Raw genomic sequence first — 27,156 nt, 5'->3', positions numbered from 1 at the left:
TGTACGGCATTCCTCCCTTTTCTGCGGTATTGTGCTTTACCCATGATCAACCGCTGTCTGAAAATATTACATGGAAAGTTGCAGAAATAAACAATCTATAAATCCTAAACCGTGCACCATTTGGAATAGCAAAATCTCACGCCGTACCGCTCTGTCCCGCCTGGGACATGACTCATCCCTTTGTCCAGCAGATCCACACTGTAGTTGCCACCCACCTGCTAAGTCACTTAGCAGCCATCTCAGTGATCAGATCCATGGTTGTGGTATCACAGTGCTTATGTTCAGGTAGCCCTTATTTTACTTAATAATGGCCACAAAGCATAAGAGTAGTGATGCTGGCAATTCAGATATGACCTAGAGAAGCCTTAAAGTGCTTTCATTAAGTGAAAAGGTGCAAGTTCTCAACTTAACAAGGCTGAGGTTGCTAAGATCTATGGTAAAAACAGATTTTCTATCCATGCAATTGTGAATAGTAGATTGTCATAATTGCTCTATGTTATTATTGTTGTTAATCTCTTACTGTGCCTAACTTATAAATTAAGCTTTATCACAAGTATAGAGCTAACATGTGAAAAAAATGTACTGTATACAGGGTTCGGCACTATCTGAGCTTTCAGGCATCCACTGGGGTCTTAGAACACACCCCCTCAGATAAGGGGGGACTACTGTATTACTTTTTCAAAATAAACAAGGAAAAAAGACCAGGCAAGGTCCAAGACATTCTAGGGCTTCTAGTTAATTGCGGAAGGCAATTCATCACAAAAACAGATATATCAGTCAATTCTGTGCACCAGATCCAGATATGAGGATCACGGTTATTAGGTGGTTTCAATGAGGGAGTGGAGGAATGACTCTTCCAGGAGTCCAATTCACTTGCTTCAAAAGGGCAGTCTCTATCGGCTAGTCCTGGGATGTGGGCCTGGTCCCACAGGCTGCCAGCAGCCAAAGCTAACAGGCTACAGACGAACAAAGGTTCATTGAGGAGCTGGCACGCGGGAGGGGCCACTGCCAATGGCTTGACAGGAGGGGCAGTGTGCATGTCGGGCCACCTGCCCGAGCAGAGAGTCTCCTATGGAGGAACCCCAGGGGGTTTCAGGTCCTGCTCCATCCTCCTCGTGGATCTCTTGGCATCTTTTTTCTTACATTCAAAGAACATCCTGTTGGAGAAGTAGGATCCGAGGGCTGTGGCGGGAAGGCTGGTGCACACTCCAGTGTGCGAGTGTTCGAGTGCCTGCAGGTGCTCCGCCCACATGCGTGCCAGCTTGTTTGTGAGGGTGTATGTTTGTCTTTTCTGTGTGAAAAGCAGGGAGTAATCATTTCCATGACCACCCAAAAATAGGGCAACTTGAGGGAGTGGATACCAGGCAAGATGTGCCTGCCTGCAATGGTGACTTCACCCTGCCTGGGATGGGCTGTGTCCAGGCCTTCCACTAGAGGACAGACACCACCATGTCTAGACCACTTCTAACCAACAAAGAAAGCAGAGTGGTTCCATTTCTGGCCTCGTCACCCAGGCTGGCCCGGCCCAGCCCACCTTCTGCAAAACAGTGACCACATCCACCACACTGGACAGCTGGGTCAGCCATAGCAGATATGAGGGCCTGGGCCCAGCACGTGGTCAATGCTGGGCATGGTGAGGCATGCTCCTGAGTTTTAGGAGCTTCTTGGGCATGTTCTTAAGTTTCCTGTCAGATTCAAGCCATAAGTGGACTTTCAGGCAGGGGCAGGGGCAGGGACCCCTGGGCAGGGCACCATTTAAAGCCAGAGTCCTAGGTTTCCTCGCCAGAAGAGTAAACCCCAATCAGACCCCAAGGTGCTCCTCCGGACTGGAGATGAAACCAGATTTGCAAGAGGCAAACTTGGTATTTCACTTCAATTTGCATCATTTGTTAATGAAATTTCATAATTAAAAACCTGCGCGTTAGCCATGTGCCCCATATTTTCTGAGCTGTTTGCCCATGCCCTTTGCCTTTTCTAAAAACCAACATGGCACATGTATACATATGTAACAAACCTGCACGTTGTGCACATGTACCCTAAAACTTAAAGTATAATAATAATAAAATTAAAAAAAAACTTATTCTGAAGTAATTATAGACTCTCAGGAAGTCACACAAATGGAACAAAGAGCTCCACGTACCCTTCACCCAGCTTTCCCCAGTGGTGGCTCTTGTATCGCTGGAGCACAATGTCAAAGCCGGGAAATTGGCTTTGGGACATTACTGGTAAACAGACTACACGTCATTTACAGTCATTGAAATGTCAATGTTGTGTGTGTGTGTGTGTGTGTGTGTGTGTGTGTGTTTTCAGATGGAGTCTCGCTCTGTCACCCAGGCTGGATTGCAGCAGCATGATCTTGGCTCACTGCAACCTCCACCTCCCGGGTTCAAGTGATTCTCCTGCCTCAGCCTCCCAAGTAGCTGGGATTACAGGTACTGCCATCATGCCTGGCTAATTTTTGTGTTTTTGTAGAGACAGGGTTTTGCCATGTTGGCCAGGCTGGTCTTGAACTCCTGACCTCAGGTGATCTGCCCACCTCAGCCTCCCGAAGTACTGGGATTACAGCTGTGCCCAGGTGTCAGCCATTGTTTCCCTTGCTATTTTATATTCGCAATATTATAATATTAGTGGTACTAATGCTTTGTGATGTTTCTGCAAATGTTTCCCCTAGGATTTTCATTGTCTTTTACTTGTTTTTATGGCATGTCTTTTGAATGTAGGTTACATATTTGTGTAGTCATCTCTACTGGTCTTTTTTTTTTTTTTTTTGAGAAGGAGTTTCGCTCTTGTTGCCCAGGCTGGAGTGCAATGGTGCGATCTTCACTCACTGCAACCTCTGCCTCCCAGGTTCAAGCAGTTCTCCTCCTCAGCCTCCTGAGTAGTTGGGATGACAGGTGCCCGCTACCATGCCCAGCTAATTTTTTGTATTTTTAGTAGAGACGGGGTTTCACCATGTTAGCCAGGGTGGTCTTGAACTCCCGACCTCAGGTGATCCACCTGCCTCGGCCTCCCAAAGTGCTGGGATTATAGGCGTGAGACACCGCGCCCAGCCACTACTGGTTTTTCTTTAGAATTTCTTGTACTGCTTCCCTGCCTGCCCTCCCACCCGTTCAGAGATTTAGTTTTCACTTTTATCTTTTAAGCTTTTGTAGTTTTATTGATTAAAATATATATCTATCCATAATAAAAGAAAATTCAAACAAAAAGGAAAAGTGCAAAGAACAAAAGCAAACTCACCTTCAATTCCGCCACCTAGAAATAACCTGTTACATTTTGGTGATAATATTGTGTAGCAAAGAAGTAGTCTTCCTGGCTGGGTGCGGTGGCTCACGATTGTAATCCCAGCACTTTGGGAGGCTGAGGCAGGTGGATCATTTGAGGTCAGGAGTTCAAGACCAGCCTGGCCAACATGATGAAACCCCATCTCTACTAAAAATAAAAAAATTAACCGGGCAGTAGTGGCGCATACCTGTAATCCCAGCTACTCAGGAGGCTGAAGCAGGAGAATCGCTTGAACCCGGGAGGTGGGGGTTGAGGTGAGCCGAGATCGTGCCACCGCACTCCAGTCTGGGCAACAGAGTGAGACCCTGTCCCCCCCCACCAAAAAAAAAAAAAAAAAAGAAGTCACCTTCCCAAAGAGAGGTCAAGCCTTTGCCCTGGGCTGCTGGGAGGTGAATTCTAGGCCCCTGGAATTAGAAATTAGTTCTGCCTGATGGGAGTGTCTTTGTTTGCCTGGGGGCTTTGGCCACAGAACAGTTACCAATCTGACTTACAATGGGGGCCTGGAGCACAGGGTATCAGTTCCAACCTCCAGAGGAAAGGCTAACTAAAGGTCTTAGCCAGACATCTGGGCGGGGCTAGAAACTAAAGGTCAACCACAGGGGTAGAATGGATCAAGTCCAGTAAAAACTTGCGTCTTGGCTGATTTTAATTTGAATCCTTTCCTTATAATATACTGCAACCATGAATATAATACTTTTCAGTGCGTTCTGTTTTTCTAGTGAATTATTGAAACTGAGGGTGGTTTTGGGAACTCCCCAACTTGCATTTGGTATTAGAAATGAAGGCAGTCAGCCAGGCGCAGTGGCTCACGCCTGTAATCCCAGCACTTTGGGAGGCTGAGGTGGGTGGATCACCTGAGGTCAGGAGTTTGATAACAGTCTGGCCAACATGATGAAACCCTGTCTACTAAAAATACAAAAATTAGCCGGGTGTGGTAGCACATGCCTGTAATCCCAGCTACTTAGGAGGCTGAGGCAGGAGAATCACTTGAACCTGGGAGGCAGAGGTTGCGCGGTGAGCCAAGATTGTGCCATTACACTCTAGCCTGGGCAACAAGAGTGAAATGCTGTCTCAAAAAAAAAAAAAAAAAAGGCCGGGTGCAGTGGCTCACGCCTGTAATCCCAGCACTTTGGGAGGCCGAGGCGGGCGGATCACGAGGTCAGGAGTTCGAGACCATCCTGGCTAACACAGTGAAACTCCGTCTCTACTAAAAATACAAAAAAGTTAGCCAGGCATGCTGGCGGGTGCCTGTACTCCCAGCTCCTCGGGAGGCTGACGCAGGAGAATGGCATGAACCTGGGAGGCGGAGCTTGCACTGAGCTGAGATCGTACCACTGTACTCCAGCCTGGGCGACAGAGCGAGACTCCGTCTCAAAAAAAAAAAAAAAAAAAAAGAAATGAAGGCAGTTATATGGACTGTTCTAACTCTGAAGTTGGCCCTTAAGTCTTGGCAATACATATTCATCTGACTATGTATGTATATAAATAAAGATAAAAATATATAAATAGGCTGGATGTGGTGGCTCACATCTGTAATCCCAGCACTTTGGGAGGCTGAGGTGGGTGGATCGCTTGAACCCAGAAGAGCGAGACCAGCCTGGACAGCATGGCGAAACCATATCTCTACAAAAGATACAAAAATTAGCCAGGTGTGGTGGTACATGCCTGTAGTCCCAGCTACTCGGGAGGCTGAGGTGGGAGGAGCACCTGAGTCCAGGAGGTGGAAGCTGCAGGGCTGCAGTGAACTGTGAACTCACCACTGTACTCTAGCCTGCGTGGCAGAGTGAGACCCTGTCTCAAAACAAAAAGAAAAAACCAAAAAATCCATATATATATGAATAACATAATGCTTAAATAGGTAGGAACAGGTTTGTTTTATAACCCATTTTTCACTTATATGTCACAGACATCTTATGCCAATAAAGTTTTATATTATTTTATTTTTATATACAGAATATTTCACTGTACACATTTATCATAATCTACTTAACCATTTCCCCACAGACATACATTTATATTAACAGACGTGCTGTTTCAAATAAACAATGCTGTGATAAACACTAATTTTCATTAACATAGTCAAAATTTAGAAGTCCTTTTTTTATGCTTCTGTTTTTTGTGTCGTACTTAACAAGGCTTTTCCTAGCCTAAGACTTTGAAAACACTTACCTATTTCCTTCTAGAACTTTCACGGCTTCCCTTGTTACATTCAATTCAATAAAGCCAACTAGGATTTATTTGGTGGAATGAATGTACAGGGATGATGTAGGGATCCTGCTTTAGGTAAGATTTCCTAAATAATCCATCTTTCCCCATTAAACTAAAGGTCCATCTTCATCATACACCCCCTTCCCATAGATACATATATTTGGGACCACTTCTGGATGTTGTTTCTTATGGGTTTTGTACACACATTTTTTTTTTTTTTTGAGATGGAGTCTCGCTCTGTTGCCCAGGCTGGAGTGCAGTGGCACGATCTTGGCTCACTGCAAGCTCTGCCTCCTGGGTTCAGGCCACTCTCCTGCCTCAGCCTCCTGAGTAGCTGGGACTACAGGCGCCCGCCACCACCACGTCCGGCTATTTTTTTATATATATATTTTTAGTAGAGATGGGGTTTCACCGTGTTAGCCAGGATGGTCTCGACCTCCTGACCTTGTGATCCGCCTGCCTTGGCCTCCCAAAGTGCTGGGATTACAGGCGTGAGCCACCACGCCCGGCCTGTACATACATTTTTAATGATTTCACTTTTTACATAACTCTGATTCATCTGGGGAGAAAATCAATTTAGTTCTTTACACAGCTCACAAAAACAAATTCCAACTAGTTATCTCATTGTCTCATCTTCCCACAATGACTTACGACACTTCTCTGAACATATGTTGCATCTTCACCTATACCAGGGCTTGTTCTGGGCCCTGCATCACCACTGACCTGTGTCCAATCCTGTGCTGCCATCACACTAATTTAATCACCACAACTCTGTGCTATACTTTACTATCTAAGTAAGGTTAGCACCCATCATCTTTTAAAACAATTTTAGAATTCTTGCCTACTATTCTTTCAAGTGAACTTTATGACCATGTTGACAAATCTCAAAATAAAACTATTCTAAAAGAAAAAAGAAAACTATTTTAATATGTTGATTGGGATTATGTTTAATAAATCAATTAATGTAGGCAGCACCCCACTTCAAATTGGGCCATCACCATACCAAATTAAGGAATGTTATTCTACTTACACTACTTAACCTACTTAAAAAGAGAAATCCAAAGCTATCTGGTTTGCTATAATTTGCTTCATGAACCTCCTTCACATTTCTGATCATATTTTTCTAACATTTCTAAATAATATAAAAAGGAAATTTAGAAAGAAAAAACAGCAAAACAAAACCAAATCACGCAGTTATACCACTCAAACACAAGCACTATCCTCATTTTATTGTGTTTGACATAGCCCCACCTAGCTGATATGGCAGCTGCCACCCTCACCCTGACCAAACGGCTAAGCCACAGGCAGCAGGGAAAGGTTTCCATTATATTCAGTACTAAGCATGACTGTCCCCAAAGAATACAGCTTTTCCCTAGCACCTTCATAAAAAGGTAATTCAGTTGGTAGTTGGTTTAAATATTCACCAAGGTAAAATGTTTATGTAAAGAATGAAAAACTCTACCCAATTGCAGACACCTGGCTTAAAGAGGCAATAAATCAAGGAACAGCATTCTCTAGCCAGAGTACACACCTGGAGTCAAGACTCTAGAAATTGGCTACCAGAGATGTAATAAAAACAGATCATACTTGCAAATGTTTCTAAGCACCTATGAAGACTGACAAAAAACAAATTTGATATTATCACCACTATTAGTCATTTCAAGGCACTGCCAGCTACACAGCCTACTTACAAGTCAAAGAAATCTGAAGCTGTCTGATGCATTTAAAAGGATAAGGTAACACTCGCCAGGTAGCCAAGACCTATAAATAGACTTTTTTTTTTTTTTTTTTGAGACAGAGTCTTGCTCTGTCACCCAGGCTGGAGGGCAGTGGCGCCATCTCGGCTCACTGCAAGCTCCGCCTCCTGGGTTCACGCCATTCTCCTGCCTCAGCCTCCTGAGTAGCTGGGACTACAGGCGCCCGCCACCACGCCCGGCTAATTTTTTGTATTTTTAGTAGAGACGGGGTTTCACCATGTTAGCCAGGATGGTCTCGATCTCCTGACCTCGTGATCCGCCCACCTTGGCCTCCCAAAGTGCTGGGATTACAGGCGTGAGCCACTGCGCCCAGCCCTTTTTTTATTTTTTTTTCTTTTGAAGAGCAGGATCTAGCTCTGTTGCCCAGGCTGGAGTGCAGTGGCATGATCATAGCTCACTGCAGCCTTGAACTACTGGGTTCATGTGATCCTCCCACCTCAGCCTCCCAAGAATTTGGGACTACAGGCATGCACCACCATGCCCAGCTAAATTTTAATTTTTTTGGTAAAGATAAGCGTCTCCCAGGCCAGGTGCAGTGGCTCACACCTGTAATCCCAGCACTTTAGGAGGCCGAAGCGGGTGGATCACCTGAGGTTGGGAGTTTGAGACCAGCCTGACCAACATGGAGAAACCCTGTCTCTACTAAAAATACAAAATTAGCCGGGCGTGGTGGCACATACCTGTAATCCCAGCTACTCACGAGGCTGAGGCAGGAGAATTGCTTGAGCCCAGGAGGCGGAGGTTGCAGTGACCCAAGACCGCGCCATTGCACTCCAGCCTGGGCAACAAGAGCAAAACTCTGTCTCAAAAAATAAAAAAAAGAGAGATAAGCATCTCCCCATGCTGCCCAGGCTGATCTCGAACTCCTGACCTCAAGCAATCCTCCTGCCTCGGCCTCCTAATGTGCTAAGATTACAGACGTGAGCCACCGTACCTGACCCTAAACCTAAATAGGCTTTAAATAGGTTTTTCCCTTTTTGAGACAAGAGATAATTCAGTAAAGATTGTTCCCAATTATTTTCAGTTTTAAGGGTCTGGAATTGTATCCCTCCCCAGAAAGAGAGTTCCTGGCCCTAAAGAATAAAAATGAGAGGCACCCAGAGCAGGGATGCGTTGGGGTCACACCCACTTCCATTCGGCAAAAGGAAGAATAGCTGGATCCTGTAACACCCACTGCAACCACAGGATTCTGGCTTATTTGAGGAAGAGGATTCAAAAAAGCATACGAACAACTTTGTACTGCCCTCATCACATAATAGAAATTCCAAAATAAAATCCATTTTCCCTTTGCCTGCTAAAGATGCTTTCTCCCATCTGCTACTGAGAATCAGTTGTCAACCTAAATCTCTCCTTTGCATCCTCTTCCCATGGGTGTTTTTTAGTCAACTTATTAACCTTCCAAGTAGCAAAGGAGTTTGGGATGGGCAGAAGAGTTGGAGCCTACTCTAAATCGAAGGCAAGCTGTAGAAACAGTTTTTGTATTTCAGACATGCTGCAAATCTCCTCAGCCAACCCATCTGAGGTCAAACAGCCCTTCTGTCTCTCCTGAGACGTATGAACGGATTACATCTTTGTCAGCATTCCATATATCTACATTTCTTTCCTGTCTGTGAAAAGCAACAATTTGGGCCAGGCACGGTGGCTCACACCTGTAATCCCAGTGTGGATCGCTTAAGGCCAGGAGTTCGAGACCAGCCTGGCCAACATGGCAAAACCCCATCACTACTAAGAATACAAAAAGTAGTTGGGCACAGTGGCTCATGCCTATAATCCCAACACTTTGGGAGGCCAAGGCGGGCGGATCACTTCAGGTCAGGAGTTCAAGACCAGCCTAGCCAACACAGTGCAACCCCGTCACTACTAAAAATACAAAAATTAGCTGGGCGTGGTGGCTCACGCCTTGTAATCCCAGCACTTTGGGAGGCCAAGGTGGGCAGAACACTTCAGGTCAGGAGTTCGAGACCAGCATGGCCAACATGGTGAAACCCCATCTCTACTAAAAATACAAAAATTAGCCAGGTGTGGTGGTGCACGCTTGTAATCCCAGCTACTCAGGAGGCTGAGGCAGGAGAATCACTTGAGCCCGGAAGGCAGAGGTTGCAGTGAGCTGAGATTGTGCCACCTAAAAAGGAAATTATATTTTTTATAGTTTCACATGAGGGTGAGCACAGGTTTAGTCACTAAAAGTCAAGGTCAGAGTGACTAATGTCTCTCTCTTTCATTTACCCCTGCTTGAAGGCCTCCTGGAAGAATAGACTAAAATGGAATGAGAATTTGTAAGACACACATAATTTAAGAAAAACTACAGAGCAGGAAAAAGAAGTCTGCCTAGACAGTGATGGGCACTCATTTCTCAAAACCGAAGTCCCTGATGTACTGCTGGTTCCCTCCACACACAAGTGAAAGCAAAACACAGGCCTTGCAGGAGCTCACGGACTAATGAAAGGGCGTGACCCACATGGGAAGGAGATTTTGTGTCTTCTCCTTCCTGCAGATCTTTGGGGGCCAGCGTGCATTTAGAGGTGGGGAGGAGTCGAGCAGGGAGAGAGTAATTATGAACAAAACTTGAAGCCAACCATTTATGTTGATTTTTTGACTATAAAGTTTCAGTCCTCGTGTTATGTACAAGGGCCTGCTACCCTTTCCTGACATAAGGAAGAATGATAATATGATTCCTCTGATGGCAAAATCCCAGATTTTACTGAGGAAATCTAATTCTGTCTTTTTTTTTTTTTTTTTTTTTGAGATGGAGTCTCGCTCTGTCGCCAGGCTAGAGTTGCAGTGGTGTTATCTCAGCTCACTGCAACCTCTGCCTCCTGGGTTAAAGCCATTCTCCTGCCTCAGCCTCCTGAGTAGCTGAGATTGTAGATGCCCGCCACCATACCTGGCTAATTTTTGTATTTTTAGTACAGACGAGGTTTCACCGTGTTGGCCAGGATGGTCTTGATCTCTTGAACTCGTGATTCACCCGCCTCAGCCTCCCAAAGTGCTGGGATTACAGGTGTGAACCACCCCTTTCGGCCCTGATTCTGTCTTAATGTCATAAAAATTCATCTTCTCCATCAGCAGCATCACAGGCCAGGCTGCCCTTCGCAGGGGACACATGGCGCACCTTCCAATCAGGGTCAGCTTGGAAAGATACTTTTATTACCACCTAGTCACCGCCGGCCAGGGGAGAGCCAGAGAGGGCAGTGTCCCCGCAACCCCCCACCTTCCAATCAAGGCCAACTCAGAAAGATGCTTTTATCACCACCCTGTCACCACTGGTCACAGGAGAGCTGGGGGAGGACAATGTCCCCCCAAATCCCCCTTTTCAATCAGGGCCAACTCGGAAAAGACACTTTTCTAACCACCCTGTCACCACCAGCCACAGGAGAGCCGGGAGAGGGCAGTCAGTGTCCAACTGCCTGCCAGCTCTGCAGCCTTGGACAGACACCTGGCCTTTCAGAACTTCACTTTCTTTGGGAAAAAAAGAAAACTACTTCACAGAGCTGTGGTAAGAATGAAATGAAGCCAGGTATTTAGAGCAGACTGACTTTCTATCTGGAACACAGGAGGTTCTCAGTAAAAAGAATTCATACATTCAGCTGATGCTTCCCAAGACGTTCAGGGCTGTCTGACTCACTGTGCTGTGGGAACCGCACAATTAAAGCCTCTAGGCCACTGTGGCCAAGCCTCACCGTGACTCTGGATGGGAAGAGGGGGAACGACTGTGGGGGGATGCTGAACAAAGGTGCTGCGGAGCTGGAGAGCACCAGAGCTGTGAGATTAGGTACATCCAGGAAAATGCAAATGCATCCCACCAAGAGCGACAGCACAGGCAGAAATGTCTTTATTAGCCCTTACACAGGAATTGCAGCTGGGGGTTTCACAGCTGTCCTGTCACCTGAACCCCCAGCTCCCGCCACGAGGAAATGCCACCAAGGGCCTGATGACTGCCTGCACCATCAGCTCTCAGGCACACTTCACAGCAGTGACCCTTATCAAGTGCCTCTTAGTCAAGCTACAGAGTGGACAACCTGGGAGAGGGCGACAGACAGAGGAGAACACAAGGAGGAGGGCTGGTGACGTTGAACCCCTGCCAGTGCTCTCAGAGGAGAGGCGTGGGCCCAGTTGGAGTCCTGCACCCGGAAGCTAGTGCAGCTGGTGCAGCTGATGCTGCTACCTCTCTTTCAGCTCCATGAATCTATGGGAATCAAGAGCAGTGAAGGCCGGGTGCTGTGGCTCACACCTGTAATCACAGCACTTCGGGAGGCCAAGGTGGGTGTATCACCTGAGGTCAGGAGTTTGAGACCAGCCTGGCCAACATAGTAAAACCCCATCTCTACTAAAAATACAAAAATTAGCCAGGCTTGGAGGTGCAGGCCTGTAGTCCCAGCTACTCAGGAGGCTACGGCAGGAGGATCACTTGAACCCGGGAGGCGGAGGTTGCAGTGAGCCGAGATCGCGCCACTGCACTCCAGCCTGGATGACAGAGTGAGACTCCATCTCAAAAAAAAAAAAAAAAAAAAAAAAGAACCTGCGATTCCATCTTGCTTTCACCACCAGGAATCAAATGCATCCACACCATACAGAAACCCTCTGCAGGCCAGGGAGTGGAACATCCCAGCAACACTTACCAAAAGCCCGATGTGTCAGGCTCTGCACAGACAGTGACAACACAGTGACAATGCCATCCCTGGCTCTGCCCTCAGGACCTCACGAGCTAATGCAGAAGACAGAAAGGTCTTCCTTTGAGTGAGCAAAGGCATGTGTGGAGTGTATGGAAGTGCAATGGAGGGGCACCCAGTGGTGTTTTCCTTAATTAGGATGCCTGAGCGGAGTCTCCAAGGACGGGCAGGAGTTAACCAGGGAAAGAAGGGAGAGAAAAGGGTTTCAGGCAGAGGGAATCAGGAGGCCTTCTCCAGAAACGAGCAGCTTTGGCTTCTGGCCCATGCTCTTCCCTCCCTTCTCCATCACCACCATAAATGGGTCTGCAGCTTTGAAGACAGAGGATAAGTTGAGATAACACCACCCACAGTGCAGAGCCTAGGATCAAAGTCCCAACCTTGCTGCTACTTTTCCCAGCCAGGGGCTGGCCTGGGCAACAGGCAAATCCTTGAAAAAGAAGAGCAAGTGAAGCGATGGAAATGCCAGTTGGCCAACATCTCACACTTAAGTGTGAACCTATAGTCTGAACCTATAGTCCAAAACGATGACAGAATAGGAATCAAAGCTAATTTGTCACATCAGGTTCTAAAGTAAAGCAGACAGAGAAAGAAGGGAACAAGAGAGAGAGGAGGAAAAGAAGGGGGGGAAAGGGCTTATAAAAGGGAAGTTTTTTTTTTTTTTGAGACGGAGTCCCGCTCTTTAGCCCAGGCCGGACTGCAGTGGCACAATCTCGGCTCACTGCAAGCTCCGCCTCTAAAAGGGAAGTTTTTGAGAGATACCTCTTTTGTACCATGGGTGTTTTGACCACATAAAAGTGAAAAATCAGCCGAGCGCGGTGGCTCACTCCTGTAATCCCAGCACTTTGGGAGGCCGAGTCAGGCAGATCACCTGAGGTCGGGAGTTCTAGACCAGCCTGACCAACACAGAGAAACCCCATCTCCACTAAAAATACAAAATTAGCCGGGCACGGCTGTAATCCCAGCTACTCAGGAGGCTGAGGCAGGAGAATCTCTTGATCCTGGGAGGCAGAAGTTGTGGTGAGCTGAGATCTCAACACTGCACTCCAGCCTGGGCAACAAGAGCGAAACTCCGTCTCCAAAAAAAAAACCCGTGAAAAATCTCTTCTAAATAAAAAAAAAATCAATAAGCAAAGTTAGAAGGTAAGTGTCAAACTGAGAGAGGCATTAGGAAAAAAGCTTAGTCCTTAAGGTGTAAGGAGCTCCACAATCAGTGAAGCTTCCCCAGTGACTAACTGCAGAGATAAAAAGGATGTGGCTGTCAAGGTCTGAACCAAATGGCCCAATTTAGCACCACCAACAGTGGGCCCACCTGACAGTATGGACCTTTGATGTGATCGCCCATGAGGCACCCACCAAAAATGTTTCACCTAAATCTAACAAAGCCTTTCAGGACTCACGTGATTTAGTGGTTTAGAGGAAACACGGGGAGCAAGGAAACATGTTCACCAGGAAACGACAAATGCAGACTGTGGGACGGACTTCAAGACAACTGGGCCAGTCCCTTCAAAAGGTCAGAGCCACGGGGGGAAGGCAGAAGGATTCTTCTACAAGAAAAAAGGCTGGCCGGGTGTGGTGGCTCATGCCTGTAATCCTAGCACTTTGAGACGCCGAGGTGGGCAGATCACAAGGTCAGGAGATCAAGACCATCCTGGCTAAAGTGGTGAAACCCCATCTCCACTAAAAATACAAAAAAATTAGCTGGGCGTGGTGGCGGGCACCTATAGTCCCAGCTACTCGAGAGGCTGAGGCAGGAGAATTGCTTGAACCCGGGAGGCAGACGTTGCAGTGAGCCAAGATCGCACCATTGCACTCCAGCCTGGGCGAGACAGTGAGACTCCGTCTCAAAAAAAAAAAAAAAAAAAAAAGAAAAGGTAATTATGGTAAAGCCAAAAACAAGAAAACTGAAGATAAATCAAATACATCTACCAACACATGAATGGAGAAAACGCACTGCTATATCTATACGACAGAATATTAACTACAGGTGCAGACAGCAACATGGATAAGTCTTAAAAACATGCCGAACAAAGGAAGCGAGACACAAGGATACAAACTGTCTGATTCTATTTATACAAAACACACGGAAAGACTAATCTGATTCACAGTGATAGTGCGCAGATAGGGAAGGAGAGGATGCCTGGGAAGGGCGCGAGGGAACCTTCTGGGGTCATGGAAATGTTCTGTATATTGATTGCAGTGGTCACATGTGTGCATACATTTGCCAAAACTATAAATCAGTACACTTGTAAGGGTGAATTTTATTGTTTACATATTATACCTTAATAGAGCTGATTGAAGTTTTTAAATTATAGTAATGATACCCAAGGGTTGGGGATAATGTAAGGAGTTGGACCCTCTTAAATAACACTAGTGGGACTATTAATTGGTACCACATGCTTTCTGTAACAGCTTTATTGGAATATAGTTCACATACCACACAGTTCACTCATTTGAAGTGTACAATTTGGCCAGGCACGGTAGCTTACACTTGTAATCTCCGCACTTTGGGAGACCAAGGCGGAAGGATCACATGAGCCCAGAAGTTAGAGACCAGCCTGGACAACACAGCAAAACCCTGTCTCTACAAAAAAAAAAAAAAACAAACAAAATTAGGCCGGGCACAGTGGCTCACACCTGTAATCCCAGCACTTTGGGAGGCCAAGGCGGGAGGATCATAAAGTCAGGAGTTCAAGACGAGCCTGACCAAGATGGTGAAACCCTGTCTCTACTAAAAAAAAAAAAAAAATACAAAAATTAGCCAGGTGTGGTGGTGGGCACCTGTAATCCCAGCTACTTGGGAGGCTGAGGCAGAGAACTGCTTCAACCAGAGAGGCAGAGGTTGCAGTGAGCCGAGATCGTGCCACTGAACTCCAGCCTGGGTGACACAGCGAGACTCTGTCTCAAAAAAAAAAAAAAAAAGGCCAGGTGCAATGGTTCATGCCTGTAATCTCAGCACTTTGGGAGGCCAAGGCAGGTGGATTACAAGGTCAGGAATTCAAGATCAGCCTGGCCAACATGGTAAATCCCGTGTCTACTAAAAATACAAAAATTAGCCGGGCATGGTGGCGGGCGCCTCTAATCCCAGCTACTTAGGAGATTGAAGCAAGAGAATCGCTTGAAACCAGAAGGTGGAGGTTGCAGTGAGCCAAAACTGCACCACCACACTCCAGCCTGGGTAGAAGAGTGAAACTCTGCCTCAAAAATAAATAAATAAATAAATAAATAAATAAATAAATAAATACATACATACATACATACATACATATAAAATTAGCCAGGCATGGTGGCGTACACCTGTAGTCCCAGCTACTTGGGAAGCCAAGGCGGGAAAATGCCTTGAGCCTGGGAGGTCGAGGCTGCAGAGAGCCGTGATCATGCCGCTGCACTTCAGCCTGGGTGACAGAGCGAGACCCTGTCTCAAAAAATAGTGTACAATTCAATCGTGTTTCATATATTCAGAGAGCTATGCAACTGCCATCACAACTTTAGAGCATTTAAAAGAAATGCCCACACTCTTTAGTTATTCCACTTCGACCCTAAACAACTATTGATCCACTTTCTGTCTCTACATGAATGCATATTCTGGACGTTTCATATTTCACATAAGTGGAATCATATAGTATGTAACCATTTGGGATTGACTTGTTTCACTCTGTGTCATGTTTTCAAGGCTCATCCATGTTGTAGCATGTGTCAGCATTCCATTCCTGTTTGCCACTGAATAATATTCCTATCCACAGATATATCACATTGTTTAATCCATTCATCAGCTGGTGGACATTTAGACTATTTCCAACTTTTGGCTGTTATGATTAATACTTCTGTGAACATCTGTGTACAAGTTTTTGTAGGAACTATATTTTCATTTCTCTTGGGGAGATTCTTAGGAAGGGAATTGCTAGGTCACATGGTAACTCCATGTTTAATGTGTTGGGGAGTTGCCAGACTGTTTTCCACAGCAGCTGCACCATTGTACATTCCCACCAGCACACAGAGGGAATGGATCTCGATGCTCTCCCACACTTTCCACAGGCTAATGCTGTGAAGTAGCCTCTTACTGTGGTTTTGAGCGCATTTCCCTAACGATTAATGGTATTAAACATCTTTTCACATGTTTATTGGCCATTTGTGTATCTTCTTTGGAAAAATGTCTATTCAAGTCCTCTGTCCATTTTTAAATTGGGTTATTTGTGTTTTTTTTAATTTGTAGAATTCTTTATATATTCTAAATATACATCTTTTAATAGATATATAATTTGCCAATATGTTCTCCCATTCTAGGGGCTGTCTTTTCTAATTAATACAACTTTTGAAAACTACTCTTGCAATGTATATCAGACTTCAGTGTGAATACCTACTTTGATCTTGTAGTTTCACTTTTGAGAATATATCTCAAGGAAATAATTTAAGAAGTATAATGAGAAGAGCTATAAACAAGGATAGTCATCAAAGGACTATTTAACTGAATCACAACCCTTACCTCACACCATATACAAATATTAACTCAAAATGGTTCACATCCTAAATGTAAAAGCTAAAACTATAAAACTTCTTGAAGAGAAGGCCGGGCGCGGTGGCTCACGCCTGTAATCCCAGCACTTTGGGAGGCCAAGGTGGGTGGATCACAAGGTCAGGAGTTCGAGACCAGCCTGACTAACATGGTGAAACCCTGTCTTTACTAAAAATACAAAAAGTAGCTGGGCATGGTGGCATGGGCCTGTAATCCCAGCTACTCGGGAGGCTGCGGCAGGAGAATGGCGTGAACCTGGGAGGCGGAGCTTGCAGTGAGCCGAGATCCCGCCACTGCACTCCAGCCTGGGCGACAGAGCGAGACTCCGTCTCAAAAAAAAAAAAAAGAAAAAAAAAGAAAAAAATAAATAAATAAATAAATAAATAACTTCTTGAAGAGAATACAGGAGAAAAATCTTACAGGCCTTGGATTGGCAAAGATTTCTTAAATACAACACAAAAAGCATGAAAAGAAAAAAAAAGACATATATTAGACTTTCTCAAAATTAAAAACTTTTGTTCTTCAAAAGACAACTGAAAATGATGCTGCAGGTCTATTTTTACCTACATGGGCACAGGAAAAAAAAAAAGAAAAAAAAGCAAAGTGACAAAACAACAGGGTGTAACTCTAAGAGCAGCTTTCCAGGGCTCTTTTCTTCCTGTCTTTCCAAAATGTCTGAATCCTGCATTTGACCATGAGCATACACCTCTATGTGATGAGGGAGGAGGAAGGAAAAGAACCTCCACAGAATGATTTCCTCTTGGCAAAGGGGAAGAAGTGAATGTCCATCTCATAATTGGCAAAAAGTAAAATTCAGTTAGCCCGGGGACATAGTCTGCCCTGTTGATTGAGTTTACTTATTTGCCAGATTTCAAAAATGAGAATATATTATAATTTTTTGAAGAGTTGAGGATCTTTGCCCTTTCACAAGATTTGCAGATAATTTCTATTACACATACAAGTTAATCTGGTGAACAACATTCACTGATGTAACTGGCTAATAACTGGCTAATAATGGCTTCGGAGTATTCTGTAAAAGGAGTCTGTATGTATACCATTATCTCACAATTATCTGGAGCTTAATTTAGTTATCCAGAAGTAAGTAAAAGTAATTCAAGATAGATAACAAAGGTCTGTGCACTTGACTCAGAGGAGAGTCTCTAAACCCTCACTAAGTTAATTACCCTTGTTTTACACTCAATTTAACAAGTTATGCAAACCAATAGAAAATGGGAGACACCAGACAAAAAGGGAAACTCACTGCTGAGCAAGTGACAGCCAAAAGCCTAGAGGAGATGATCATTCAAGTTGAAAACCTAACTCATGAGAAAGTCTGGGACTGTTGAACAGAGAATTCAATATACCTTAACAATGAAAGATTACCACAATAATGCAATAAATAATATTCAAAAATATGTTTCTAAATAATCAAAAGTTATGTTCAATATGTTCAAGAAAGCAGCAAAAATGAGTATGCATTTGAGACAGATTTCTACTTCCCATTAAAAATGGTTAATTTTGTAAAAGAGATGATTAAACAAAATAAACAGTGATCTAGAAAACTGGTTAATATCAAAGGAAGCTCTATTCCTTAAGAGAGGGGCAAATTAGGTATTTTTACAAACACATTTTAATAGCAAGCCAACCTTAATCCCATAAAACTCAAAGGACTGACCTAAAGAAGTCATTTTAGATCCATTCACAGATTCTTCTGTGCTCCTCAAATGGTACCACAGAGGTGCTTCCCAAGTCAGTCTGAATAACTAACCCTGTAGATAAGGTCATTTCATCTTGCCACCTGACCACCCAGCTCTGTTCACCAGGTCTACACTCCTCCTGCACTGCAGCTCCATCTTTGAGAAAAAAAAAACACTTGAACTTGGCTGTCTGGGGCAGAGACCTGACATGTTTTTGCACTCTGCATTTCCTCCTTCCTGGCTCTTCAAATGTCGGGGTATAACCACACTGCACTTGGAGAGCTATTGATTCAAATGCAGAGAAACGAAGTTCCTGACTTGGGGAGGAAATGTAGTCTCCATCTTCTCACTACAAACACCTTTCCATGTGAGCCGCCTCCACCCTCCCACCCACCAAGGGAGTTCTCCTAATGCCCTAAACTCCTTCAGGGCTGGGATTTCCACAAATATATTTGGATATGAGGACTATTCCTCATATAGCCACACAAATAGGAAACCAAGGAGGCGCAGAGGTAGGACAATGCAACCTAAGTTGGCATCAGAAAGCCAAAGCCCTGAGGCTCTGCTCCTCCCCCTGAGGGAGTTCAGCAGAGGAACTGTTCTCTCTTGCTGGTTATTTGTAGCCTGAGGCATCATACACATGATAGGGACAGACATCAGACCAAAAAGGTCATTGGGGAAATCAGCCCGGGCTGCAGGGACAGCAGGTGGGGAACCTGACCACAGCAGGCGGTCTCATGTCTGGAACAGGCTAGGGCCAAGTGAGGCTGGGGCCACCAGTGCGCAGCACGATGCCTGGAAGGGCAATGCCCCCAGGGCATTACCAAGAGGCAAGGCTGGCTGCAACAGCTGGGGTCCAGGATGCCCGCTGGCTGCCAACAGCTGGGGTCCAGGATGCCCTCTGGACCAAGAGACAGCAATCTGCTTTGCAATAGTTTGGTTTTTGTGTTTGTTTGTTTTGGGGTTTTGTTTTGGTTTGTTTTGGTTTTTTTGGAGACATGGCCTTGCTCTGTTGCCTAGGCCAGCTGAAGTGCAGTGGCACGATCATGGTTCACTGCAGCCTCAAACTCCCCAGCTGACGCCATCCTCCTACTTCAGCCTCCCAAGTAGCTGGGGCCACGGGCACATGCCACCATGACTGGCTAATTTTTTAAATAATTTTTGTAGAAGATCTTGCTATGTTGCCCAGGCTGGTCTTACACTCCTGGGCTCAAGTGATCCTCCCGCCTTGACCTCCCAAAGTGCTGGGATTACAGGCGTGAGCCACCACGCCCAGCTGCTCTGCAGTAGTTAACTCACTGTCCTAAGACGCTGTTCCCGCTGCTCCTGCTGAGCAGGGAGGCAAAGGGAAGTGGTTTCTTCTCTGGAACCAGTGGTCCTCCTCCCAGCCCACCCCCAGGATCAGCAGCAGAGGTGGAAGAAGAGAAGCCAATTTCAGAGCACCGGAGCGACGCAAACCACACCAACTGGCACTTTATTCAAAACAATGATGGCTTTGTCAAGCACAGCCCAAGAGCCAGCTGAAAAACCTGCCCTTCCCTCCTAATTTCTACCCTCAAGTCCCCGTGACTTTGAGGCACCATGTTAAAAAGGAGGAAAAAAATTACACAGAAACCAACATCAGCCAACCCATGTGACCTGACAGAAGGCAGGCCAGCTGCCCTTCCAGGATGACACATTGCTGGAGCTGGCTGTTCTGCAGCCATGGGTCGCCTACTGGGCAGCTCAAGCTCCCAGGACACATTTAAGTCTCACTGATATATTTCCAGTGATCCCAGCCAACAAAGAACAAAGAACTGAAAGAGCGCTGCTGTGTCAATCTTCCAGTCGTCTGGGAGGGCAGCACACCCCAACCTCAATCTGAGTTGCTCAGCGGGGGTGGCTGCTCCCCATCTTTCCAAGAACCTAAAAGCTGCTGCCCCAGGGCCCTCTAGGACAGGGAACAGAAGGAAAATCTCTCTGTGGGGAAGAAGTGGGGGGCACCGGAAGAATAGATGACATTATTTCTCACACCACACCCTGCCCTGCTCGCTTCATCCCTATTTTACCAATCAGGGTCAGTCATCTCCAACACCCCACAAACACACCCATAGCTCCAAGGAGCCAGCAACAAGCACACAAACAAAGATAAGCAAACAAACTTATCAGGCGCAGCGCAGCTGGCTCCACACAGGCCCTGCCAGCTCCTCTGCAAATACAGTCTCTGGTAGGCTGCCCTGAGAAGGATCTGAAGGAGGCCGTGCATAGCACCAGTGAGCTTACCTACCTGCTGGCTCACAGTACTGTGAAAGGTCAAGGCCAAGGCCAGGCCAGAGCTGAGCTGCTAACTGGGTTCTTTGCTTCCCTATGGACAAAGCCTTCTGCCAAGGTTTCTTGTGGGGAGGGGGAACCCATGGATTCCAAAACTAAAGGGAAACAGAGACTGGCCCAATAGATAAGGGAGCAGCCTGGGAGAGTAGGGAGCTGGGAGCAGGCATTCCACCGGGCCAGGAAATGGAGCCCTCAGTAAGGAACTCTCAGCAAGAACACAGCAGGGGGATGGTGGGCAGTGTGGGGACACCGGCCTTCACACAGCTGGGCCTGAGCAATTTTAATTAATTAATTACTTTTTTTTTTTTTTAGAGGCAGGGTCTCACTCTGTCACCCAGGCGGGAGTGCAGTGATCATAGTTCAGCAGCCTCCAACTTCTGGTCTCAAGAGATCCTCCCGCCTCAGCCTCCTGAGCAGCTGGGACTACAGGTGTGAGCCACCACACCTGGCTAATTTTTTAGTTTTTGTAAAAATAGGGTCTCGTTATGTTGCCCAGGATGATATGGAACTCCTGGGTTCAAGTGATCCTCCCACGTCAGCCTCCCAAAGTGCTGTGATTACAGGCGTGAGCCACCAAACCTGGCCCTGGTTATGTTTTAAAATTAAGGCTGGGTGCAGTGGCTCACACCTGTAGTGAGGCCAGGGTGACAGGACTGCTTAAGCACAGGGGTTCAACGCTGCAGTGAGCTGTGATCACACCATTGCACTCCAGCCTGGGTGACAGAGCGAGACCCTGTCCGCCCAAAAAAAACACCCATAACCAAAGTCCTCATGCCTTCGGCCAAAAGCTCCTCTGCCGAGCACTCTTCTGACAATGCAAGTGTTAGGACAGACAGGCCCACGGAAGCACCACAAGCGAGCAGCTGAGAAGCAAGGCTGCCAAGCCAGACAGCGGCATCTCCGGACTCAATCTGACAAAAAATACTTAAATCATTTTTCAGAGCGTTGAGTCAGCTCTTCCTTCCATGTACCAAGTCATTCCCCAGTTTTGTAACTTGCAGGGACATGTACCCGCAGCATTCCAGTTCCACGTGAGAGCTCACGCCAGCTGGGGGGACTCACACCTGGAATCACAACTTTCACAGAGCCTTGCTCTCCCTACCTCAGGCACAACAAACAGCCAAGGGCAGGAGTCACCTCGGGGACACCGCGGTCACAGCCTCGGGGGTCTGTCAGCAGAGCACCACAAGGCATGCAAGCTGCGGCATCAGTCCTGCGGGCATGCTGCTGACTGTGCGTTCTACCCCTGCCCCACAGCAGGCTGCTGGACAAATGTGAAAGCGCAGGAGCTTCCACTCCCGGACTCAGAATAAACAGGCCACCGTTCAGCTCCGCGCCTGCTGACCACCATTCCCCTAGACACACCTGTCCTGGGAGGGTGGGACAGTGGGACAAGGAGGGGTGCCTAAAGTGGTGATAAGAATTGCTGCCATTTTTAGAGACTTGAAAGCTTCCCAGGGTAAAGGCTCCTATCAGGAAGGAGGAGGAAGCAGACATTTTCAGAGAAAGTAGCCAACCAGGGCTATGAAAACAGAGATGAATGGAACAGGGGCCTAGAAACATGGGAGGCGTTATCAAAAACACCAGCGAAATATTCTCGGTGATCAACAGAGAGAGAGAAAATAAATAGTAGTACATCCATACAATGAAATACTATCCAGCCACTAAGAAACACTGCAGAAGCCGGGTGTGGCGGTGCACACCTGTGGTCCCAGCTACTCGGGAGGCTGAGGCGGGACGATTGCTTGAGCCCAGGAGTTCAAGGCTGCAGTGAGCTATGATCACACATTTGCAGCCCAGCCTAGGCAACAAAGTGAGACCTATCTTTAAAAAATAAAAAATTGCAGATGGATATTTTGTGGCTTGGAGGGATGTTCACACTCTATTAAATGGAAAAAATACGTGGTGGCCCAAGCCTGTAGTCCCAGCTACTCGGGAGGCTGAGGGAGAAGAATCACTTGAACCAGGGAGGCGGAGGTTGCAGTGAGCTGAGATCGCGCCACTGCACTCCAGCCTGGCGACAGAGCGAGATTCTGTCTCAAAAAAAAATAATAATAAAAATAAAAATAAGGAAAATATATATATACTCACCATGCAAAAAATAAAAATAAAAAATAAGGTCTATAAGGATAAACACTAGAGAACTGACAAGTTATCTCTGGGTGTTGTAATTTTTATTTCTTTCTTTTAGCTTTACCTATATTTCTGATTTTCTATGATAATTTGAAATGCAACTTGAAAAGAAAAGGTTAACTTTAATTTTAAAATGTAAAAAAAAAACTATACTATGAACATAGAGAAATAACAATGAGTAAAATCTGGAAGGAGGCCTGAAAGATGTGGACAAATTCCAAAAAGTAAGGTCCTAAGCTTTAAAGAACTCCCCAACTTTTCAGCAAACATGTCTCTGCAGAGGAAGCACTGTGTGGCGGATAAATACAAACGCTATTTGAATCTGGATTCGAGGCCTATGCTAAGGCACTTAAGAACCATAAAGCTACTTGCCAACACCTTTCCAAATCAGATCCAAAAGCCAGAGCCAGGAATCCTAAGGAACCTGTGCAAGGCGGCCGCACAAGCACTAAGTGTGCATGTGTGAGTGTGTACTGCAAACACACACCCCCCCACACACACAACATACCACACACACCAACACACCACACAGACACTGCACACACATACCCACACATCCCACACACAAACCAACACACACACCAACACACCACACACCACACACACCACCACACCGCACTCACCACACACACCACCACACCGCACACAGACACCACACACATACCCACACCCCACACACACCAACACATACCAACACACCACACACAACATACACCAACACCACCCCACAGACACCACACACATTCCCACACACCCCACACACACAACACACCAACACCACACCACACAGACACCGCACACACATACCCCCACACCCCACAAACACACCAACACACACCAATACACCACACAATCACACACCAACACCAGACAATGCACACACATACCCACACACTCCCCATACGTACCACACACACCAACACCACACCATAGAAACACTGCAAACACACCCACACCCCACACACACCAACACACACACCAACACACCACACACATAACACACACCCCACACCAACACCACAGACACCGCATACACACACCCACACATACCACACACATGCCAACACACCACACATACAACACACCACACACACAACACACAACAGACATCGCACACACACCTGCACACACACCAACACACCACACACACCAACACCACAGACACCGAAAACATACACCACACACACAACACCAACACACACACCAACACACCACACACCAACACACACTGCAAACACACCCACACACCAACACACCACACACAACACACACACCAACACACCACACACACAGACATTGCAAACACACACCCACACACCAACACACACACACCAATACCACACCAGACACCGCATACACACACCCACACCCCACACACACCACACACACCACACACCAACACCACACAGACACTGCAAACATACACCCACCGCAAACATACACACACCCATACACACCACACACACACCAACACACCACACACCACACACACCATCACACCACACACAGACATCGCACACACCCACACACCAACACACACACCAATACCACACCAGACACCACATACACACACCCACACACTCCACACACCAACACACACAACACACACCAACACCACACACAGACACTGCAAACATACACATCCCACACACCCCACACACATACCAACACACACAACACACCACACACACACCACCACACACACCAACACACCACACCAGACACCGCAAACCCACCACACACACCACACAGATAGCGCAAATACACCCACACCCTGCACACACACCACACCAGACACCGCAAACACACACACACCACACACACATGCCAACACACACACCAACACACCCCACACACCACCACACCAGACACCGCAAACACACACACACCACACACACATGCCAACACACACCAACACACCCCACACACCAGACACTGCAAACACACACCCCACACACACTGACACACACACCAACACACGACACACACCGACACACACAGACACTGCAAATACACACACCACACACACACTACACCCACACCACACACACCACACAGGCACCGCAAACACACCCCCCACACCAACACACCCCACACACCAACACCGCACACATACACCACACACACATATCAACACACACACCAACACACCACACACCAACACACACACCACACACACACCACAAACACACACCATACACACCAACACACACACTACACCCATGCCACAGGCACCGCAAACACACCCCCCAAACCAACACACACACCCTCCACACACACCAACACAGACACCGCACACACACACCACACACCAAACACACCGCAAACATACACACACCCCACACATACAACACACACACCCCACATATAACACACCAACACACACCACACACATAACCACCCACACACCACACACACCAACACACACCACACACCAACACACACAATACACAGACACTGCAAACACATTCCACGCACCCACACCACACACACACTACATACAGACAGCACAAATGCACACCCCACACCCRCACTGCACACACACCAACACATACCATACACTACACACACCACACACCAACACACACCACACACAGACATCCACCCCCACACACTACACACACTACATACCCTACACGCCAACACACACATCAACAGACCCCACACACATCCCACACACCAACACACACACCACACACCAACACACACAGCAAACACACCAACACATGCACACCACACACACCATACACACACACCACACATACATATACACAGACCACACCACACATACACACAACACACACAACACATACATACCCACACCACACACCCCACCACACAAACATACCACACACACCACACCCCACACACATCACACACAACAACACACACACTGGGGAAGCAAAGCCGAAGATAGGTAACATAACATAAAATGTGCAGGTCGGAAACTAAACAAGAGTCAAGACAGAGCCCTCCTCAGTCTAACTTAATGTTGTAATTTTGTTTCAACTCCAGCCAAATCAACCGTTTATAGAGTTCAAAGTATTGTCCCTTTCCCCCATCCCAAAATTACCCTATGCAAACAGTCCCACCTTAGTCAAGTATGGTGGTGATGCTGAGGGGTGATAGCTTAAAATGGAATGTAACCTATAGTCCAAGAATTTCACAAAATGGAGAATATACCCTCCATTCCCAGAACAAGAATACTTAAAATCATCACCCCAGCTCCTCATAACTCAGAGTAACTAACCGTCTCCTAGGCACATGCATACCTCTGGGGTGTACCAGGCAGTCTTAGATTTGGTATTCAGAAGATTATGGTCCTGTGACTTTAAACAGAGCAGGGCCAAGAAGGTAGACGTAGTGTAAGAACACCTAAAAAAAACTACCTTGACTGGGCTCAGTGGTTCACACCTGTAATCCCAGCACTTTGGGAGGCCATGGCAGATGAGTTGCTAGAGCTTGGGAGTTCAAGACCAACCTGAGCAACATGGCAAAACCCTGTCTCTACAAAAAATACAAAAATTAGCCAGGCATGGTGCTGCATGCCTTGTAGTCCCAGCTACTTGGGAGGCTGAGGCAGGAGGACAGTTTGAGCCCAGGATGTGGAGGTTGCAATGAGCTGAGATCGCGCCACTGCACTCCAGTCTGGGTGACAGGGAGAGATCCTGTCTCAAAGAAAAGAAAAGAAAAAAGAAAAGAAAAGAAAAGAAAAAGAAAGAAAAAGAAAGGGGAAAAAAAATATTTCTTGTGCCAGAGCCGTTCTGTGGCAAACAGCACACCGCCTTCATCGCTTAGGCCAAGACTCACTTCTAAACCAGATTCAATCTAGATTAAACTCACAACCCCAGAATACCTAATAGCTGAATTCAGACCTTAAATCCAGATTTCCTCCAGTTTTTCAAATATGTCGAATCTCATAACACTAGGCTCACATTCCCACATGGCAAGAATCACCTGAAGTTAAGTGATGGCTGCTCTTTCAGCAAACACTCTAGTTCACCACCACAGTCTCCACTACTCCCTACCGCCTGTCATTGAGACCAAGTCAACTGCAGTTGATGCTTACGGTTTTCATAACAAACAGAGATTTCTCCATAACCATGACTTTATGAAAAGGAGGAAAATAAATAACAGAAAAGGTCTTTTTAGCCTTACAGATATCCTATTTCCTGGCCCTTGTGAGCATTTAAGTTTGTGACCCTTGACCCAGATAAAAGAAGAAAAAGTCTTTTTTTGTTTTGTTGTTTTTTTAAACAGACACAAGGTTTTGCCATGTTGCTAAGGCTGGTCTCAAACTCCTGAGCTCAAGCAATGCACCTGCCTTGGCCTCCCAAAGTGCTGGGACTACAGGCCTGAGCCACTGCACCCGGCCGTAAAGGTCTTAACAAACTAACTTTACAGAGAGTGATTTGGCAAGCTCTGGTGCAAGCTGAAGAAACCAATTCCCACGTCATCTTCAGTCTAGAAGGAATGCTCCAAGGAGGTCACTTTCCCAAACACTCCTCCACTTACTGTACACAGTAAAGATAAAGAATCATGGAATTTCTAGACACTGACATAGTTAAGATCTCCAAGATCATCTGATC

General features: G+C 46.4%; 1 protein-coding gene across 7 annotated transcripts in view, besides 8 other annotated features; it reads right to left on the bottom strand.

Annotated features, from left to right (window-relative positions):
- The window catches only part of MLXIP (MLX interacting protein), a 68,589-nt gene that overhangs the window by 28,987 nt on the left and 12,446 nt on the right, over window positions 1-27,156 (bottom strand). The gene's annotated exons all lie outside the window — the stretch shown is intronic.
- Window positions 5,942-6,236: an enhancer, noted in NCBI's record as "tiled region #11163; HepG2 Activating DNase matched - State 9:DNaseU". NCBI's record gives its function as "activates a minimal TATA promoter and a strong SV40 promoter by Sharpr-MPRA in HepG2 cells {active_cell/tissue: HepG2}" and the evidence as "EXISTENCE:reporter gene assay evidence [ECO:0000049][PMID:27701403]".
- Window positions 9,249-9,568: an enhancer, noted in NCBI's record as "active region_7205". NCBI's record gives its function as "activates an Ori minimal core promoter by ATAC-STARR-seq in GM12878 lymphoblastoid cells {active_cell/tissue: GM12878}" and the evidence as "EXISTENCE:reporter gene assay evidence [ECO:0000049][PMID:35858748]".
- Window positions 19,091-19,744: an enhancer, noted in NCBI's record as "H3K27ac-H3K4me1 hESC enhancer chr12:122583161-122583814 (GRCh37/hg19 assembly coordinates)". NCBI's record gives its function as "activates a minimal SCP1, AML or CMV promoter by ChIP-STARR-seq in primed H9 embryonic stem cells {active_cell/tissue: H9 hESC(primed)}" and the evidence as "EXISTENCE:reporter gene assay evidence [ECO:0000049][PMID:30033119]".
- Window positions 19,745-20,398: an enhancer, noted in NCBI's record as "H3K27ac hESC enhancer chr12:122582507-122583160 (GRCh37/hg19 assembly coordinates)". NCBI's record gives its function as "activates a minimal SCP1, AML or CMV promoter by ChIP-STARR-seq in primed H9 embryonic stem cells {active_cell/tissue: H9 hESC(primed)}" and the evidence as "EXISTENCE:reporter gene assay evidence [ECO:0000049][PMID:30033119]".
- Window positions 19,745-20,412: a biological region, named in NCBI's record as "H3K27ac hESC enhancer GRCh37_chr12:122582507-122583160".
- Window positions 20,253-20,412: a silencer, noted in NCBI's record as "fragment chr12:122582493-122582652 (GRCh37/hg19 assembly coordinates)". NCBI's record gives its function as "represses an EF-1alpha promoter that drives an FKBP-Casp9 reporter gene in an ReSE screen in phorbol 12-myristate 13-acetate-treated (for megakaryocytic differentiation) K562 erythroleukemia cells {active_cell/tissue: K562(+PMA)}" and the evidence as "EXISTENCE:reporter gene assay evidence [ECO:0000049][PMID:32094911]".
- Window positions 21,150-21,650: an enhancer, noted in NCBI's record as "H3K4me1 hESC enhancer chr12:122581255-122581755 (GRCh37/hg19 assembly coordinates)". NCBI's record gives its function as "activates a minimal SCP1, AML or CMV promoter by ChIP-STARR-seq in naive H9 embryonic stem cells {active_cell/tissue: H9 hESC(naive)}" and the evidence as "EXISTENCE:reporter gene assay evidence [ECO:0000049][PMID:30033119]".
- Window positions 21,651-22,151: an enhancer, noted in NCBI's record as "H3K4me1 hESC enhancer chr12:122580754-122581254 (GRCh37/hg19 assembly coordinates)". NCBI's record gives its function as "activates a minimal SCP1, AML or CMV promoter by ChIP-STARR-seq in naive H9 embryonic stem cells {active_cell/tissue: H9 hESC(naive)}" and the evidence as "EXISTENCE:reporter gene assay evidence [ECO:0000049][PMID:30033119]".

This window comes from Homo sapiens, chromosome 12 (genome assembly GCF_000001405.40).
Source record: "Homo sapiens chromosome 12, GRCh38.p14 Primary Assembly".
Lineage (NCBI taxonomy): Eukaryota > Metazoa > Chordata > Mammalia > Primates > Hominidae > Homo > Homo sapiens.
Note: the sequence above shows the minus strand (reverse complement) of the source record. Positions and strands in the feature narration are given on the sequence as shown.